Below are 15,382 nucleotides of genomic sequence, written 5' to 3' on the forward strand. Positions count from 1 at the left end.
GAAGCTTAGTTTGGCAGGATATGAAATTCTGGGTTGAAAATTCTTTTCTTTAAGAATGTTGAATATTGGCCCCCACTCTCTTCTGGCTTGTAGAGTTTCTGCCAAGAGATCTGGTGTTAGTCTGATGGGCTTCCCTTTGTGGGTAACCCAACCTTTCTCTCTGGCTGCCCTTAACATTTTTTCCTTCATTTCAACTTTGGTGAATCTGACAGTTATGTGTCTTGGAGTTGCTCTTCTCGAGGGGTATCTTTGTGGCATTCTCTGTATTTCCTGAAACTGAATGTTGGCCTGCCTTGCTAGATTGGGGAAGTTCTCCTGGATAATATCCTGCAGAGTGTTTTCCAACTTGGTTCCATTCGCCCCGTCACTTTCAGGTACGCCAATCAGACGTAGATTTGGTCTTTTCACATAGTCCCATATTTCTTGGAGGCTTTGTTCGTTTCTTTTTATTCTTTTTTCTCTAAACTTCCCTTCTCGCTTCATTTCATTCATTTCATCTTCCATCACTGATAACCTTTCTTCCAGTTGATCGCATCAGCTCCTGAGGCTTCTGCATTCTTCACGTAGTTCTCGAGCCTTGGCTTTCTGCTCCATCAGCTCCTTTAAGCACTTCTCTGTATTGGTTATTCTAGCTATACATTTGTCTAAATTTTTTTCAAAGCTTTCAACTTCTTTGCCTTTGGTTTGAATTTCCCCCTGTAGCTCGGAGTAGTTTGATCGTCTGAAGCCTTCTTCTCTCAACTCGTCAAAGTCATTCTCCGTCCAGCTTTGTTCCATTGCTGGTGAGGAACTGTGTTCCTTTGGAGGAGGAGAGGCGCTCTGCTTTTTAGAGTTTCCAGTTTTTCTGCTCTGTTTTTTCCCCATCTTTGTGGTTTTATCTACTTTTGGTCTTTGATGATGGTGATGTACAGATGGGTTTTTGGTGTGGATGTCCTTTCTGTTTGTTAGTTTTCCTTCTAACAGACAGGACCCTCAGCTGCAGGTCTGTTGGAGTTTGCTAGACGTCCACTCCAGACCCTGTTTGCCTGGGTATCAGCAGCGATGTCTGCAGAACAGTGGATTTTCGTGAACCGCGAATGCTGCTGTCTGATCTTTCCTCTGGAAGTTTTGTCTTAGAGGAGTACCCGGCCGTGTGAGGTGTCAGTCTGCCCCTACTGGGGGGTACCTCCCAATTAGGCTGCTCGGGGGTCAGGGGTCAGGGACCCACTTGAGGAGGCAGTCTGCACGTTCTCAGATCTCCAGCTGCGTGCTGGGAGAACCACTGCTCTCTTCAAAGCTGTCAGACAGGGACATTTAAGTCTGCAGAGGTTACTGCTGTCTTTTTGTTTGTCTGTGCCCTGCCCCCAGAGGTGGAGCCTACAGAGGCAGGCAGGCCTCCTTGAGCTGTGGTGGGCTCCACCCAGTTTGAGCTTCCCGGCTGCTTTGTTTACCTAAGCAAGCCTGGGCAATGGCGGGCACCCCTCCCCCAGCCTCGCTGCCGCCTTGCAGTTTGATCTCAGACTGCTGTGCTAGCAATCAGTGAGACTCCTTGGGCGTAGGACCCTCTGAGCCATGTGCGGGATATAATCTCCTGGTGCACCCTTTCCTAAGCCCGTTGGAAAAGTGCAGTATTCGGGTGGGAGTGACCCTATTTTCCAGGTGCCGTCTGTCACCCCTTTCTTTGACCAGGAAAGGGAACTCCCTGACCCCTTGCACTTCCCGAGTGAGGCAATGCCTTGCCCTGCTTTGGCTGGCGCACGGTGCGCTGCACCCACTGTCCTGTGCCCACTGTCTGGCACTCCCTAGTGAGATGAACCCGGTACCTCAGATGGAAATGCAGAAATCACCCGTCTTCTGCGTCACTCATGCTGGGAGCTGTAGACTGGAGCTGTTCTTATTCGGCCATCTTGGCTCCTCCTAGCAATGTTATTTCTAAGCCAGAATCCTTACAATGAAAGGCAATGAAGTTGGAAAAGAGTCTCATTCCCTAACCTGGGAGAATGATTCAGGGTTCTCCGTTTGTGTGGGGCTCTTCCAAGGCTCTATTCCTGCTTTTAAAATCACAGTTTCATGTTTTTTTTATTGAAGAGAGTCCTCAAAGTGATTAACCCAGGACTGAAAAAACCTGAGTCCACCCCTGCCTCAGAATGCTTTCAGCACAAAAGCATTCAGTCTGTATGATAATTGCATAATCCCAGTGTTGTGTGGTATAATATCAAACCCCAAACTCATCATGTATTCTCTGCCAGCTGGAGTCCAAATCAAGTTATGAAGATTTCCGGAGGCACTGCCAGCTTCTGTTGTCTATGCTCCCTTCCTCCTCTGGATGGCTTCTGTCCTTGATGTGTCTAAGGCTGGGCTTAGGGGATAGTCACAAGTGGCAGATGAACAGCAATCTGGTGTGAGTGGCTGCTGGGCACAGCAAATAGTCTCACACGGCCTCCTTTTCTCTTAGACAAGGCTTTGGTGGATTCCTTGGTGCCACTTCCTCCTGGCTGCTTCCCATCTGATGAGGACAGTATCTTTCCTGGGCTGGCCACCCATGACCCTGACACCTCTGCTCCTGGGTTCCCATGGCCACTCCTTTGTTGGAGTCCATTCGCCTCTCCAGGTAGACCTCTTCGTGGGATCTGTGTTAAGGTTTTCCTCTAACAGAGCTCATGTTTGGACTTTGACAAGCCTCCCTGGGGTCAAAGTGCAGCTTGAATCAGTGCATTCCCTCTTTTTTCTGGATCTCAATTTCCTTAAGTCTCTGTAAGTCACTTTCTCTTGGCTTCAGGTTGAGGGGAAGTGCCATCTCCCCTTCCTTGGGGATGTGTGTGGGTAGCAATATGGCTCACTGACAACTCATACTGTAGAAGTGTTAGTTCTTCAGTCTTTTTTTTTTAGGCTGAGGTCAGCAACCGGCTAATGCTGGAAAGACCAACTTGGGACTACTTTCTGCAATCTTTTGGAAAATCCTGAAGGAATGGTTTAGACTAGCATCTCTCTTCGAAATAGAGGCGGACTTGGAGTTGTTTTGTGCTTCACTTCAGAGGGATTACATTGAAGCAGGAAAAGTGGCATTTAATAACACATTACACCCCCAAATTGGAGAATCCAAGAAAATGGAGATGAAACAAGTCTACAAGAATAGTTTGGCACATGGAACTACAGATAAAAATGGTAGGAAAATCCTGTGGGGTGAGACACTGGCTACTCAAGTCTGGAGGGATAGCTTGGGGCAATGTGCTCAGAATAAGACCTTTCCATTTCTGACTTGGAGGATCAGGCACATCTTTCCTTAAAGTGGTCTATAATTTCTTTTTCTCATCTAGGTTTTGAACTGTAGGTGTAATACTTAAAGAGAAAGAGGGTAGTGGTATGGAAATGTAAAATCTAAGAACCAGTGAATACTTATTCACATTTGCAAACGGGTCCACAACAAGAAGCATCTACCTGGGATCCCTGCAATTTTATACTCTGATATTTCCTTGGTCTCATGGATCCAATTCTACAGTAAAATCCTCAGGCATCTGTCATAGCCTGGAAAAATTTACAATTCAAATACCCAGTGGGTAAACTTCTAGCCTAAGCTGGTCCCCATGAAGAAATATAATTTTATTCCTTTCTCTGTCTTGCGCTTGAAATGGAAATGAAAATTCTTAGTTTAAAAGATTCTACTGGGTCATCAGGATAAAATGATTACAATTGCAAACTCTTGTAAAACACATGATCCCTGGTTATCTGTATCATAATGGTGGCATTTATTTGGGAATTCTCTTGGATTTCAGGTATGGACTTGTTTGGGAAGTAGGGCAACAAAGCCCTCACATTCGTAAATAGTGGTGTGCATTCCTGCGCTGGTCTGCCAGAAAACCTGCATTAAAATTAATAATTTGCTAGAAACTTTTCAGGTTGGCCTGGCTTGACATGGAGTCATTAAGTTTTCAGATATGCATAAAAACCATAGGTAAAAACTATCAAAAACAAGTTAAAAGAGCATATTTGAATAATTTGTGTCAAGGATGGATAATATAATAATTAGAAACATTAAGTTCCTTAGGGTGTCTTAATTTGCTTTGGGATATTAACCTCTCACATTTGGCCTCAATAGGCATGCAATTTTCATATTTGCAGAAATTTCAATGCGTTTCCATTATCCATTTGTTGATGGGGGTGAAGATGAATTAAGTAATCTGTACTTATTTTAATGTTTAGTTGTCATCAGTTCATGCCTAAGAGGACAAAGCACTTGAAATGTGTACATGGTCATGGCAAAAAAAAAAAAAAAAACTTTGGTTGGAGGTCATTTGTCCCCTTCTTTTCCTATGCATTAAGTGGCTGTGTAAATACGATAGACTTAATTACTTTATAGCATGTAGTCATGTGGCATCTTGGTATGGCTAATTGGGGTGGAATTCTTAGAGACTGCTTTTTTTAGCTTTGTCTTTGTATCTCTTGGAATTAAAAACCTGTTTAAATGAAGGAACCATGCAACATGAAATGCTTTTCACCTGAGAGTGGTAATTGTTGAACTATACCTAGTATTTTCTGTATCTGTAGCTGCCTCTGGATAATTGTATAAGATAGGAGTCAGCTAATAGGGAATCATTAAGTATGACCTTCTTTTCCAGAAATTCAGGTCATTTTCACCCTTCAGTGATTGTCAATGTTAGTGAAGCTGTTTCTCACTTGTATGGCCAATTTCAATTCATCTCAAACTTCCAGACATTCCATTGATAATGCAAATAACTGAATGCTCTCAGCATAATCTGGTATTTACGTCAGAATTTTCTGTTTCATGTGAGCCTTGCAATAAACTTTTACAACACATTGAAGACTTCTTTCTTGGATAACATAATCAATAGTCATGAGATCTATTATTTAAGTTAATATATGTTTTTATTTCTATAAAGATGCATTTACAAATCATTAGTTAATTAATTATTATTATTTCCAGATGAAGTCTCACTCTTTCGCCCAGACTAGAGTGCAGTGGTGTGATATCAGCTCACTGCAACCTCTGCCTCCCGGGTTCAACCTCAGGTTAAAGCAGTTCTCCTACCTCAGCCTCCCGAGTAGCTGGGACTCAGGCACATGCCACCACGCCCTCATGAGATAATTCTGGGCAGTTTGGCTCTGTGTGGATTCGCTCTGTAGCACTCACTACAGGACCATTTCCCTGAGCTTTTTTTTTTTTTTTTTTGGGGGGGGAAACTAAGACCTTCCCCTCACCACTGGGAAGCACCATCCATCCATTATCCCAAAATGGCAAGGCCACTTCCTCTAGGTCCTGGTTTCCATATATTGTGTGATAGGGTTCACCTCCTTCCGGAAAGCATGATGGAATGTTTTGCTTGGCCCACCACAAGAAAGTATCTATTTAGGTAAGTCTCTGCTCTCCACCCTCCTTAGGTCGTTTTTTCCCAGGTCCCAGGTCTTAGACCTGCTTCCTCCATGTATATTTTGCTATTTTTCTCATGTGGGTATGCTGTATTTAATCTTTATAGAATTCATAAGATTGAATATATGGCAAATTAGAAATATGTTCAATTTTTAAGTTTAAAGTGTTGTTTTTCCATTCACAATCATTTTTAAAATTCTTTGGGTCTTTTTAAGGGCAATTTTCAAAAATGATTTTTTAAAGACAACACAATATTATTATGGCAAAAAGTTTATTGCATAGTACACTCTTCTCCCTAGATTTTAAACTCCTTAAGGGAAGAAAGTAAATTTCTTCTCATTATCCTGTAGGACTAGACTAGTGTCTGTCATATACCTGGATGAATACACAAATGGGTATTTTAAAATCATTTCTTTAAAACCTGGTTATATATATGAAATTCTAAACATTTTTTTCTTTGTGTGTGATGAATATATCCTGAATCAAATTACTGTGAACAGAAGTCAATGGAATGGTTTTTAAGATGTATTGATGCTAGCAAGGCCAGTTGCAAGTTCAGTCTTCTCTGTCTTTCTCTCCGATAGCCATCCTAAGTCCACACATTAAAAAAAATCTATTCATCCATTTATTCATCTATCTGTATATCTTCTACCTATTATCTATCTATCTATCTATCTATCTATCTATCTATCTATCTATCTATCTATTTTTCCACCCGGTTAGTCAACCAGTCACTTATTCTGCTGCTATTCAGTTGTATCCTTGTTATATAATGGTGAGCAAGGTAGGCATGGCCCTGCTTTCATATGGAGAAGAGAATATTAAGCCCATCACTTAAAATGTGATAAGTACTGTGATAGAAAAAAATACATCTCTCATACATCTCAGCATAGAATCTGTCATGTGAGAAATGAAGATCTAGAAAAGCATGGAGGAAAAATGAAAATTATGCTGAGACTTCACATGTGTGAAAGGGTTAACCAAGAAATGAGGAGAGGGGATGGTGTTTAGGCAGGCCAGAGTACAATGTCTGCACATCTGCAGGGGAGAGAGAACATGGTGTGTTCTAGGAGCAGAAAGAATTGCAGTTATTTCTAGAGCTTGGATTACCAAACAGGGAGTAAGGAATGATGAGGATGCCAGTACCAGTAGGGGTTAGAATTTGAAAGGCTCCATAAAGTGGTGAGAGTTTAAAGTTCTCATCTTGGCTGAAGAATTGAGAATGGGTGGCCAGGTGCAAATCTGGAGCAAGAGTAGGGACTGGGAAGCCAGTTAAGAAGATGCCACAGGGAAGAGGAAGAGGGTGATCACCTGACCTCAGGTAGTGGCTGTGAGGTTGTGAAAAATGGCATCATTCAAGTAAACACTCTTAGTTACAGGGAACTGGCAGAACATGAAAGGATCAGAATGAATCAATCTTGGCAATCAGAAGACACAGGTAAATCATCTGTTTCTAAGTTTCTCCATTGCTTCATCTTTGAAAAAGTGATAATTTCTGATCATTTCATTTTGAGAGCTATTGTTTAGTCTTTCCTTTTAGCAAAATTGATTAACCTTTGCTATAGATGAGGAAATAGAAGAAACGAAGAAGAGAATTTAAACAGAGGAGATACTTATTCTGGCATCCTATAAATTTGTTATTTAACTTCAGGGCAAAATCAAAATAAGATGCCAAATTGTGCTTAATGTGCATGCCTGTCTCTGAGGCTATAAACACAGCATGACTGGACAAACCACATATGCAGCTAGAGTCTTCTGTGGTCTTTCTTGAAGGGAATAAAGACCATGAATAAGGACAGGATATTTCAGGTCTCGAGATTCTGTCCCATCGACTGAAAAAGGCATCAAGCATTAGGGACATTAATTTAGAAGAAGACAAATATAGTTAACAGTAATTGTTGCATAAAGACATGATGTTATTGGTTTTTAAAAGCCCATTCAAAGTTTTAAAAATCTTAGCTATATTCCTATAATTTTTTAGTGCCACATAGTGTGATGCTTTAAGGATCTGTATGAGTAAATGTCATTTTTTTTTCAATATTTGAGCATAATTAGTGAAGTTTTTCTTGGTGTGGATGATTTGCTCATGTTATCGCTGTTGGTTACTGTTTTTGTAAATTTCAAATTGTCCATTTTTAAAGATAATTTTATTTACTTAAAGATGAAGAGGAACTTTGATTGTATGAGATTGCCTGCAGCGGCCTTAATAGTCAAAGAGATGGTTTAGTTCTTTTGGAAAAGGAAATGTGACCCTAGGATTACGCCCTTGAGAGATGATACTTCAATTCAAATTGGGATTCACAGGGTAATTGCAGCCTGTGGTAATGCATCTTCAACGTCTTAAAATAGCTGTTAGACAGTAGAGCTTTCCCCTTGAGGAGGGCAGTGTTCACTAGGAGATGTCTTTTGTCTCTTTCAAACCAGCAGAGCAGCCTCTTAACAATGCAAAGAAACAATATATAATATTTTCCGGAGTGATTTCAAAATTAACTGAGAACAAAAATATCCTCATCTGTTTTGTACTGTGCTACAAATAAAAAATAAATAAAACAAATAAATAGAACAGCATCTGGACAGTGTCCATGTCTGGGTTAATTTTGAGGCTTCTATAGGGAATATAAAATTTAGACTTGGAGCCCTTAGTGTACAAGCAAGCAACTGAACAAACTCTTAATGTCATGGGTCATTACATCCACTGTATTGTACTCTTTACAGAAAAACATACAACTAATAAAAATATATTACTATGTTTTTCTACCTTCTGTAGGTAAACAGTGGCTGACAGCAAACAGTGAGCTATTGCTTTATTCTGAATTGCATAAATTGAGCTGATGGTTTTCTTAAATATCCAGTGAATGAGGCTATTTGACTATTTTTTTCTTTGTCAGGATTTTGACAGCAAGTAACTAAATCTAATTTTTTTAAAAAGAGGTCATTGGAAGAGCCTTCCAGTCACACTGAAGGTTGTAAAGCAGAGAAACATGTTAAGATGAAGTGGACCATGGCAGCTGGGAGACCAAACCACACCTAACAGATAAGAGGCTGCAGGGGACAATGCAGAAGGTGCACAGGTTCCCTTTTCATGTCCAGAACTACTGGTTGGCTGCGCCCAGGGAAGACTGTAGGGAGGGGAGGACAGATTGAGTTGGGACACCTTGGCTGTGAGGGTGATTATGAAAATGCCAGCCCCAGAGGGAAGGCAAAAGTCAGGTTAAGAAAGCAAATCAGATGGCTGAGAATCACAAGAGAATGGGTTTTAAGTCAAACAGAAAAAATAAGAATGTAAATAACAGACAGGTAGCAAGGTCAGGTGATTTGGAAGATGGGACAATATGACAAGGAACAAGGTGTGCTGCAGATTGAGCTGATCAATTCAGGAACTAAATCCATAAGTGCTGAGAGGCAGCTAGACAGTTGATCTAAAAATTCTTTAACACAATGGGGGTTAAAGAAAAACCCTGTGTTTCAACAGACTACAGGCAGGGACTTGGCATCAAGACTAAAATATCAAGGATTTCAGCTAGATGGGCTGTCCAGAGTCCATAAAAGTAGAAACTGAGAGACCTACAGATGCTGTGGCAACACAGTGGTGTAAGCCAGGCAATGTCAATGGCAGCACAGCTCTAGAAGCTGAAGAATAGAACAGATTCATTCAAAAACAAGGCAAAGAGCACTTATCATGTGGTGAGTACAATAGATAGGTTACAAGGAGGTATCAGGGTTGATTCCTGTCCTCAGGAATGTGACAATCTGGTAGAGATACCACCAGCAACCACTCCTTCCCCAACCCACCCAACCAAACCAATGAGACATCTTGCAACACTCTGTAATATATTACTACATTTACTTTGCTTTATGACAGGTGGGCTTCAGGCCCAGGTCAGCCTGACATGGAGGCTGGTGTGTGGCAAGGCCTGCAACAGTTCTGAGAGAAGTGATTGCTGAGAGATTAGAACATAGGCTGAGATATTTTCTTGGCATCCTTCCTAATTAATCTCCCAGGCTTTGCTCAGCAGCACAGTAATTCTTGAACCCTCTCCTTAGCCACAGCAAGCACTAGACCCAAGATAAATTTATAGGACAGGTTTTTGGTGTGGTTTTATTGATAGAAGAAACAGGGTTTAATTTGCTAGGAAAGTATGAGTTTTACTTTCTGAAGGAATCTGTTAAAAATAAGGATGCGTATGCTTTGAAGAGTCCTTCCTGGCACTGATGTGAAAGCAACTAACTTTGAAGCAGCCTCTCTACTGTGGTTCTAAGTCTTTGTGAGTCACTTGGAAACACAAGTCTGGTAGGCAGGAGGTCTGTATTATTCATACTTTTTCCTAAGTCTGACTTGAGGCACATCATCCCACCTCTTTGTGCTTGTGCTGTATTGTAGTTTGAATGTTTCCTTCAAAGTGCATGTATTGAAGTTTAATCCCCAATGCAACAGTATTGGGAGGTGGGGCCCAGTAATAGGTGATTAAGTCATGAGGGCTCTGTCCTCATGAACAGACACACGTTATTATTGTGGAGTGGATTAGTTATCTTGAGAATGAGCTTGTTCTAAAGGTGAGTTCTGTCCTCTCTTGCTCTCTTTCTCTTTCTCCCACATTCTTTTTCATCTACTTTCTACCATGGGATGATGCAGCAAGAAGACCCTCACCAGATGCCAGACCCTCAGCCTTGGATTTCTTAATCCCCAGAACTCTAAGAAGTAAATTTCTTTTTCTTTCTTTTTTTTTTTTTAAATAAATTGCTTAGTCTGTGGTATTTTGTTATAGCAACACAAGATGGACTAAGACAAGCTCCTTATTCATAGCCATATCCTGGGATCAAACACATATGGATATAGTTTTGAGTTGGCAAATTTTGGACTGAATAGTCAGGTCTCACCATGGGCCCTTTAAGGCTAAACCTAAAGTCACTCTCCTATCTTCATTTCAGTGTTCCCAACTTGTTAATTCATATTCTCTTTCTCCCTCTCCCTCTCTCTCTCTTTCTAAAGAAATGCAGACATATTCTTGAAATCATCAGAAATTTTTATGTGAAGCATTTTTTGAAAAGATATGAGAATTAGGAAAAATGTACTTTCTTAAAACTCAAAAATTTGACTTTTGTTAGAATAAACACAGGTATTATCACTGATATTGAATGAGTGCTCATGTTGACCCTTATAAAATGGAGCATGTCATGCTTCTAGTACGTGCAGAGGTTACCTGTAGGGTGTAACATCAAGGATGAGTGATGGGAAAACTCAGGCTCTGTGGGATATCTCTTTTCTGTGAATCTTGACTGTGCCTAGGAGATCCTATTCCCCGTAAGAAACACACATTGAAGATAGAACCTTGTGTTTAAGGAGTGGGTGGGAGAGATCAAAGAGAGGGGCATGAAGTGAAAGTAAGTGAACTCTAAAGCGAAATCATATTTTGCTTAGGGCAAAGATGGCATCGGTTGCTTTAGTCATGAAGCAATCTGGATTAATTATTCAAACTTGAGAAGAAAAACTGCATTGTTTTGTATTAACCATGAGCCATTTGAGTTTTGTTTGTTTGGTATTTGGCTACACACAGATTTAGCCTAAGACAAAACCTGGAGTAAATAAAAAAGGCGCATAAAACATGTATACTACCCTGTTTATCCTGTTGAGCTCTTAGTGGTTTCAGAGGACATATGTGCAATAAGTCAGACTCTCCCTGGAAGAGCTAATATCGTATCCATGCTGTGAGTTCAGAGTACAGCAATTTGTTATTGATGCCCAAACATTAAAAATGTGCAGCCAGCCTCCTAATGTTCTGCTAAAATCATTTCCTTTTCTCTTCTTATTCGCATTTTTTTGTTTAAGAGAATAAAAGTATTTCCATTTTTACATAAAAATAGGAACAAAGAGCACATGTTAAATATACTGGTGAGTTTGAAAAACTGGGATGCATATTTAAAAAGACAGTATCATATCTTTGGTAATAAATAATGACAACTATTTTTGTATCCCACTTTCCCTACAGTTTTAGCACGTGAGTACCTGTTCCAGCATATTAAAAAGTGGAAATTCTAGATTTTCCTAAGCATCAACAATATAAAATGACTTGTGAAGATATCAGAGAAGTGTCAGAAGAGATGCAGGGAGAAAGAAAGTGCAAGGAAACATGAAGTCTCTTTCTTGGAGGATTTTCCAGGGAAGGCTTTCTGTGGAGACTGATTCAGCTAGTTTAGCCTTTTTGTTAGGGTCCCTGTCTTTTTCTCTCACCTCCATATGCAACTCATAAGCAAACACTGTAGGTTCTACTTTTAGAGTGGATCTCAAACTTGACAGCATCTCACTGTTTTCTTAGCTCCATCACATATCAAAGAACAATCGGAGTAGCCTCTGTGGGTCTTCCTATTTCCACAGTGGCCCTCTGCATCTATCTCTTCCACATATAACCACCAAGTCCTGAGTTGAAGATCAGATCATGTCAGTTCCCTGATTGAAGCTTCCCAATATCTCCTAATCACTGGGTTGTTGTTGGTGTGGGACTTTTTTTGTGTTTATTTGTTTTGTTTTTGTTTTTGACCATATTTTGAGACATGGTGTTGCTCTGTTACCCAGGCTGGAGTACAGTGATGCCATCATGGCTCACTACAGCCTCAACCTCTCAGGCTCAAATGATCCTTCAACCTCAGCTCTTCAAGTAGCTGGGACTACAGGGGTGTGCCATCATACCTGGCTAATTTTTTTTATGTGGAAATAGGATTTCATTATGTTGCCCAGGCTAGTCTCAAACTCCTGGACTCAAGTGATCCTCCTGCCTTGACTCCTGAAATGCTGGGATTACAGGCTTGTGCCACCATTCTTGGCCTCCCAATGACACTTAGGTAAAAGTCAACTTCCTATGGGCCATGTGACCTTTGCTGGGTAGACATCTAAGATGTACTCCAATGATCCCTGGCTCCTCTTACTCATGTTCCTGTGTATGTCCCTCCTGCAGTGTGTGGGTTAGACCTCCTCATGTGCTCTAACAAGTAGAATAAGGAAGAAATGATGGCACTTCACTTCTATGATTAGGATACAAAAGACCACAACTTCCCTCTTGCTAGAGGCCTCTGAACTTCTCTGTTTGCTCACTTTGATGAAGTAAGCTGCCATCTTGGAGAGGCCCACAAGACAAGAAACCGAGGGTTGCTTCTGGCCGGCAAAGAACTGAAATCCTCAGTCTAACAGCCCCCAAGAATTTGAATCTTGGTAACAAAACTTGAAAGTGGATCCTCTGGATCCACTGAGTTGAGTCTTCGGATGATCACGACCCTGGCCATTACCTTGATTGCAGGGATAGAAGGAGGAGGTGAGGGCAAAAAACAGAACAGAGGAGGTAGCAGATTCAGTAAGCAGGATCCAGCCCAACTGCACCAGATTTCTGAGCTATGGCAACTGTGAGATACTTAATGCTGTTTCAAGCCACGTGCGGGGAGTTCGTTATGCAGCAATAGATAACTAATCTATGGTCTTATAGGAACTGGCCCTTGGCTATTTCTCAAACCTCACCTCCCTTCACTTCCCACTTTCTACTTTTCTCCAGCATCTCTGCTCTTATTTCTCCTTCTTGGACATACCAAGCTCATTCCGACTCCATGGACTTTTGCTTGCTGTTTGGAATATGCTTGGGATGCTCTTACCTGAGACCTTTGCATGGCTGATTCTTTCACATACCCAGGCCTTCTTTCAATTCTCACTTTTGCAGAGAATCTTTCTTTGGCCTCCCTCCATGGAGAAGCTACAACTACTGCTTCCAACTACTTCTTTTTTGCACTCATCCTTTTCTCTGTCGCATCCTGAATTATTTTCCTTCCTACCCTTATGCCTTTCTTGTTTGTATTTTATTGCTTGTTCCTGTATTCAGTTTGATGCTCCATGAGGGTTGGGGTTTGGTCTGTTCTCAGTTTCTAGAATACGTAGGCACTAACTACATATTGATTGAATGAATGGGTACATTTTACCTCAATAGGCTGACACTTCCTCATTTGCAAGATAATGGTGTTGGAACAAATGTCATTAAATTTGCCTCTATAGCTAAACTTACTGTTCTATGATTAATATGGCAAAGAGATTGAAGACAGGAAATCAACACTAGAACAGAATAAAAATCAAGTAAGGGGACTTCTGGAATGGAAAACATGGAGTGTATGAGACACTCTGGATGGAGAGGAGCTGGGATTTCTCTCATTTGATAAGAGTTGTCTGGTCTAGGGTTGTCACATAGAACTCTGTGTTGATGGGAATGTTCTAAGCTGCACTGCCCAACACAGGAGCCATAAGCCATCTGTGGCTACTGAGCCCTTAAAATGTGGCTAGTGTGACTGGACAAACAAATTTCAAATTTTATTTTTATTTTATTATAGAGACAGGGTCTCACTCTGTCATCCAGGCTGGAGTGCAGTGGTACAATCCTAGCTCACTGAAGCCTCAAACTTCTGAGCTCAAGCCATCCTCCCACCTTAGCCTCCTGAGTAGCTGGTACAGGTGCATGCCACTATGCCCACCTAATTTTTTAATTTTTGTAGAGATGGGGTCTTGCTATGCTGCCCGGGCTAGCCTTGAATTCCTCGCCTCATATAATCCTCCCACCTTTGCCTCCCCAAGTGCTGGGGTGATGGTTACAGTCATGAGCTACTGCTCCCCATCTCAAATTTTATTAATTTAAATTTAAAGAGCCATTTTAGATTCTAAAGTTTGTAATTGCTTGTTGGCACTATGATTGTACTTTCACAGTCTTATCCTCCATGAAAGGTCAGGGCATGTTAGGCTGGCACAGCCATGCAGGTAGTTTTACTTCAGAGACAGAGACAGCTGATGGACAGGAGAGGGGACATTCTCTATGTACTCACCATAGATTTATGACTAAAATGCAAATTAGAAAAAAAGATTTTTGCATAGAACCAAAAATATGCTATGGAATACACTGCTCAGTACTAATTAAGTGCCTTGCTGTAATAATGACAGTTTTCTATGTCTTTGATTTTTTTTTCCTCTTCCCCCTCATTTTTTTCCTGCTTTTCATTTCCATCTAGGTGGTTTTGAAAGTAAACAGAAAAGACAAAAATAAACAAAATGTCAGTGCTCAGTAATTTTGCCACTTTTAGTATAAGTGTTGATTACCACCTAAAGATACCTCTGTTCATGATTATGAATGTAAAATAAGCCAATTGGTTGCCATTTTCTTTGGGTCTATGATGTCTCTCTCGTCATCTGGAATTTAAGCATCTGAGCTTCCAAATTTCTTCCCCACTCTTCTTAATTATTATCCCTTTTGCTTCCATAGACAGATTCTGAACTATCTTTTAACATAGGCAAATGCAATGTAATATCAGCTGTCTCAGCTGCTCTTTATAATGAAGGTAATTCCCCTCAGCCTAGGCCCTTGGCTGTAATACCTGGTATTGGAAAGAACCAAAATGCCTCTTTTTTTCCCTCTCTTTTTTTCATGTTAAATGACATGTTTATTTTCCTGGATAATAAAAATAATGACTCAAGAAAGTCCTACAAATATTTCAGCTTTTCCTTAACACACGAATGTCTTGGCATCTGTGAAAGGTTATGTGTTGCATAGGATTTGAGATAAGACCCAGGTTAAATTAGTGCTGTGCTAGGTATTTATATGTGACCCTGAGAAAGTTGCTAAACATCTCTATTTTGCTTCCATTCTCTCACAGGCAAAACAAGAATGATAATAGGCATGTCTCAAGGTTGCTGTGTGGACCAGCTAAAGCCCTATGTAAGAAAGCACTTCACATACAGAAGAGGGTAATATGAGATTCAATTTTTTTTTTAAATGGAAGTTCATTCTAGTTTTGGGACATGGCTTTGGACTCTGCCTTGGGATGTTAATCAGCCCTTTCTCCATTAACAAATTAACCCCATTAACCCCATCCATTAACCCCACCTTAGCAAATGGGTTCACCTCAGATGTCACTTCTCAGAGAGGATCTCCTTGACCACTCTCTGTCTATATAAAATTATCTTACTTTAAGTATAGCTCTTGTTAGTGTCTGGTGAAATGA

General features: G+C 40.7%; 1 long non-coding RNA gene across 2 annotated transcripts in view; it reads left to right on the forward strand.

Moving 5' to 3' along the window:
- The window catches only part of LOC105374666 (uncharacterized), a 41,940-nt gene that overhangs the window by 10,060 nt on the left and 16,498 nt on the right, over positions 1 to 15,382 (forward strand). For both annotated transcript variants that reach the window (XR_925809.3, XR_001742615.2), the window contains exon 2: positions 15,035 to 15,125. This is a non-coding gene — a long non-coding RNA (uncharacterized LOC105374666). The remainder of the gene's footprint in view (positions 1 to 15,034; positions 15,126 to 15,382) is intronic.

Source organism: Homo sapiens, chromosome 5 (assembly GCF_000001405.40).
Source record: "Homo sapiens chromosome 5, GRCh38.p14 Primary Assembly".
Classification (NCBI taxonomy): Eukaryota; Metazoa; Chordata; class Mammalia; order Primates; family Hominidae; genus Homo; species Homo sapiens.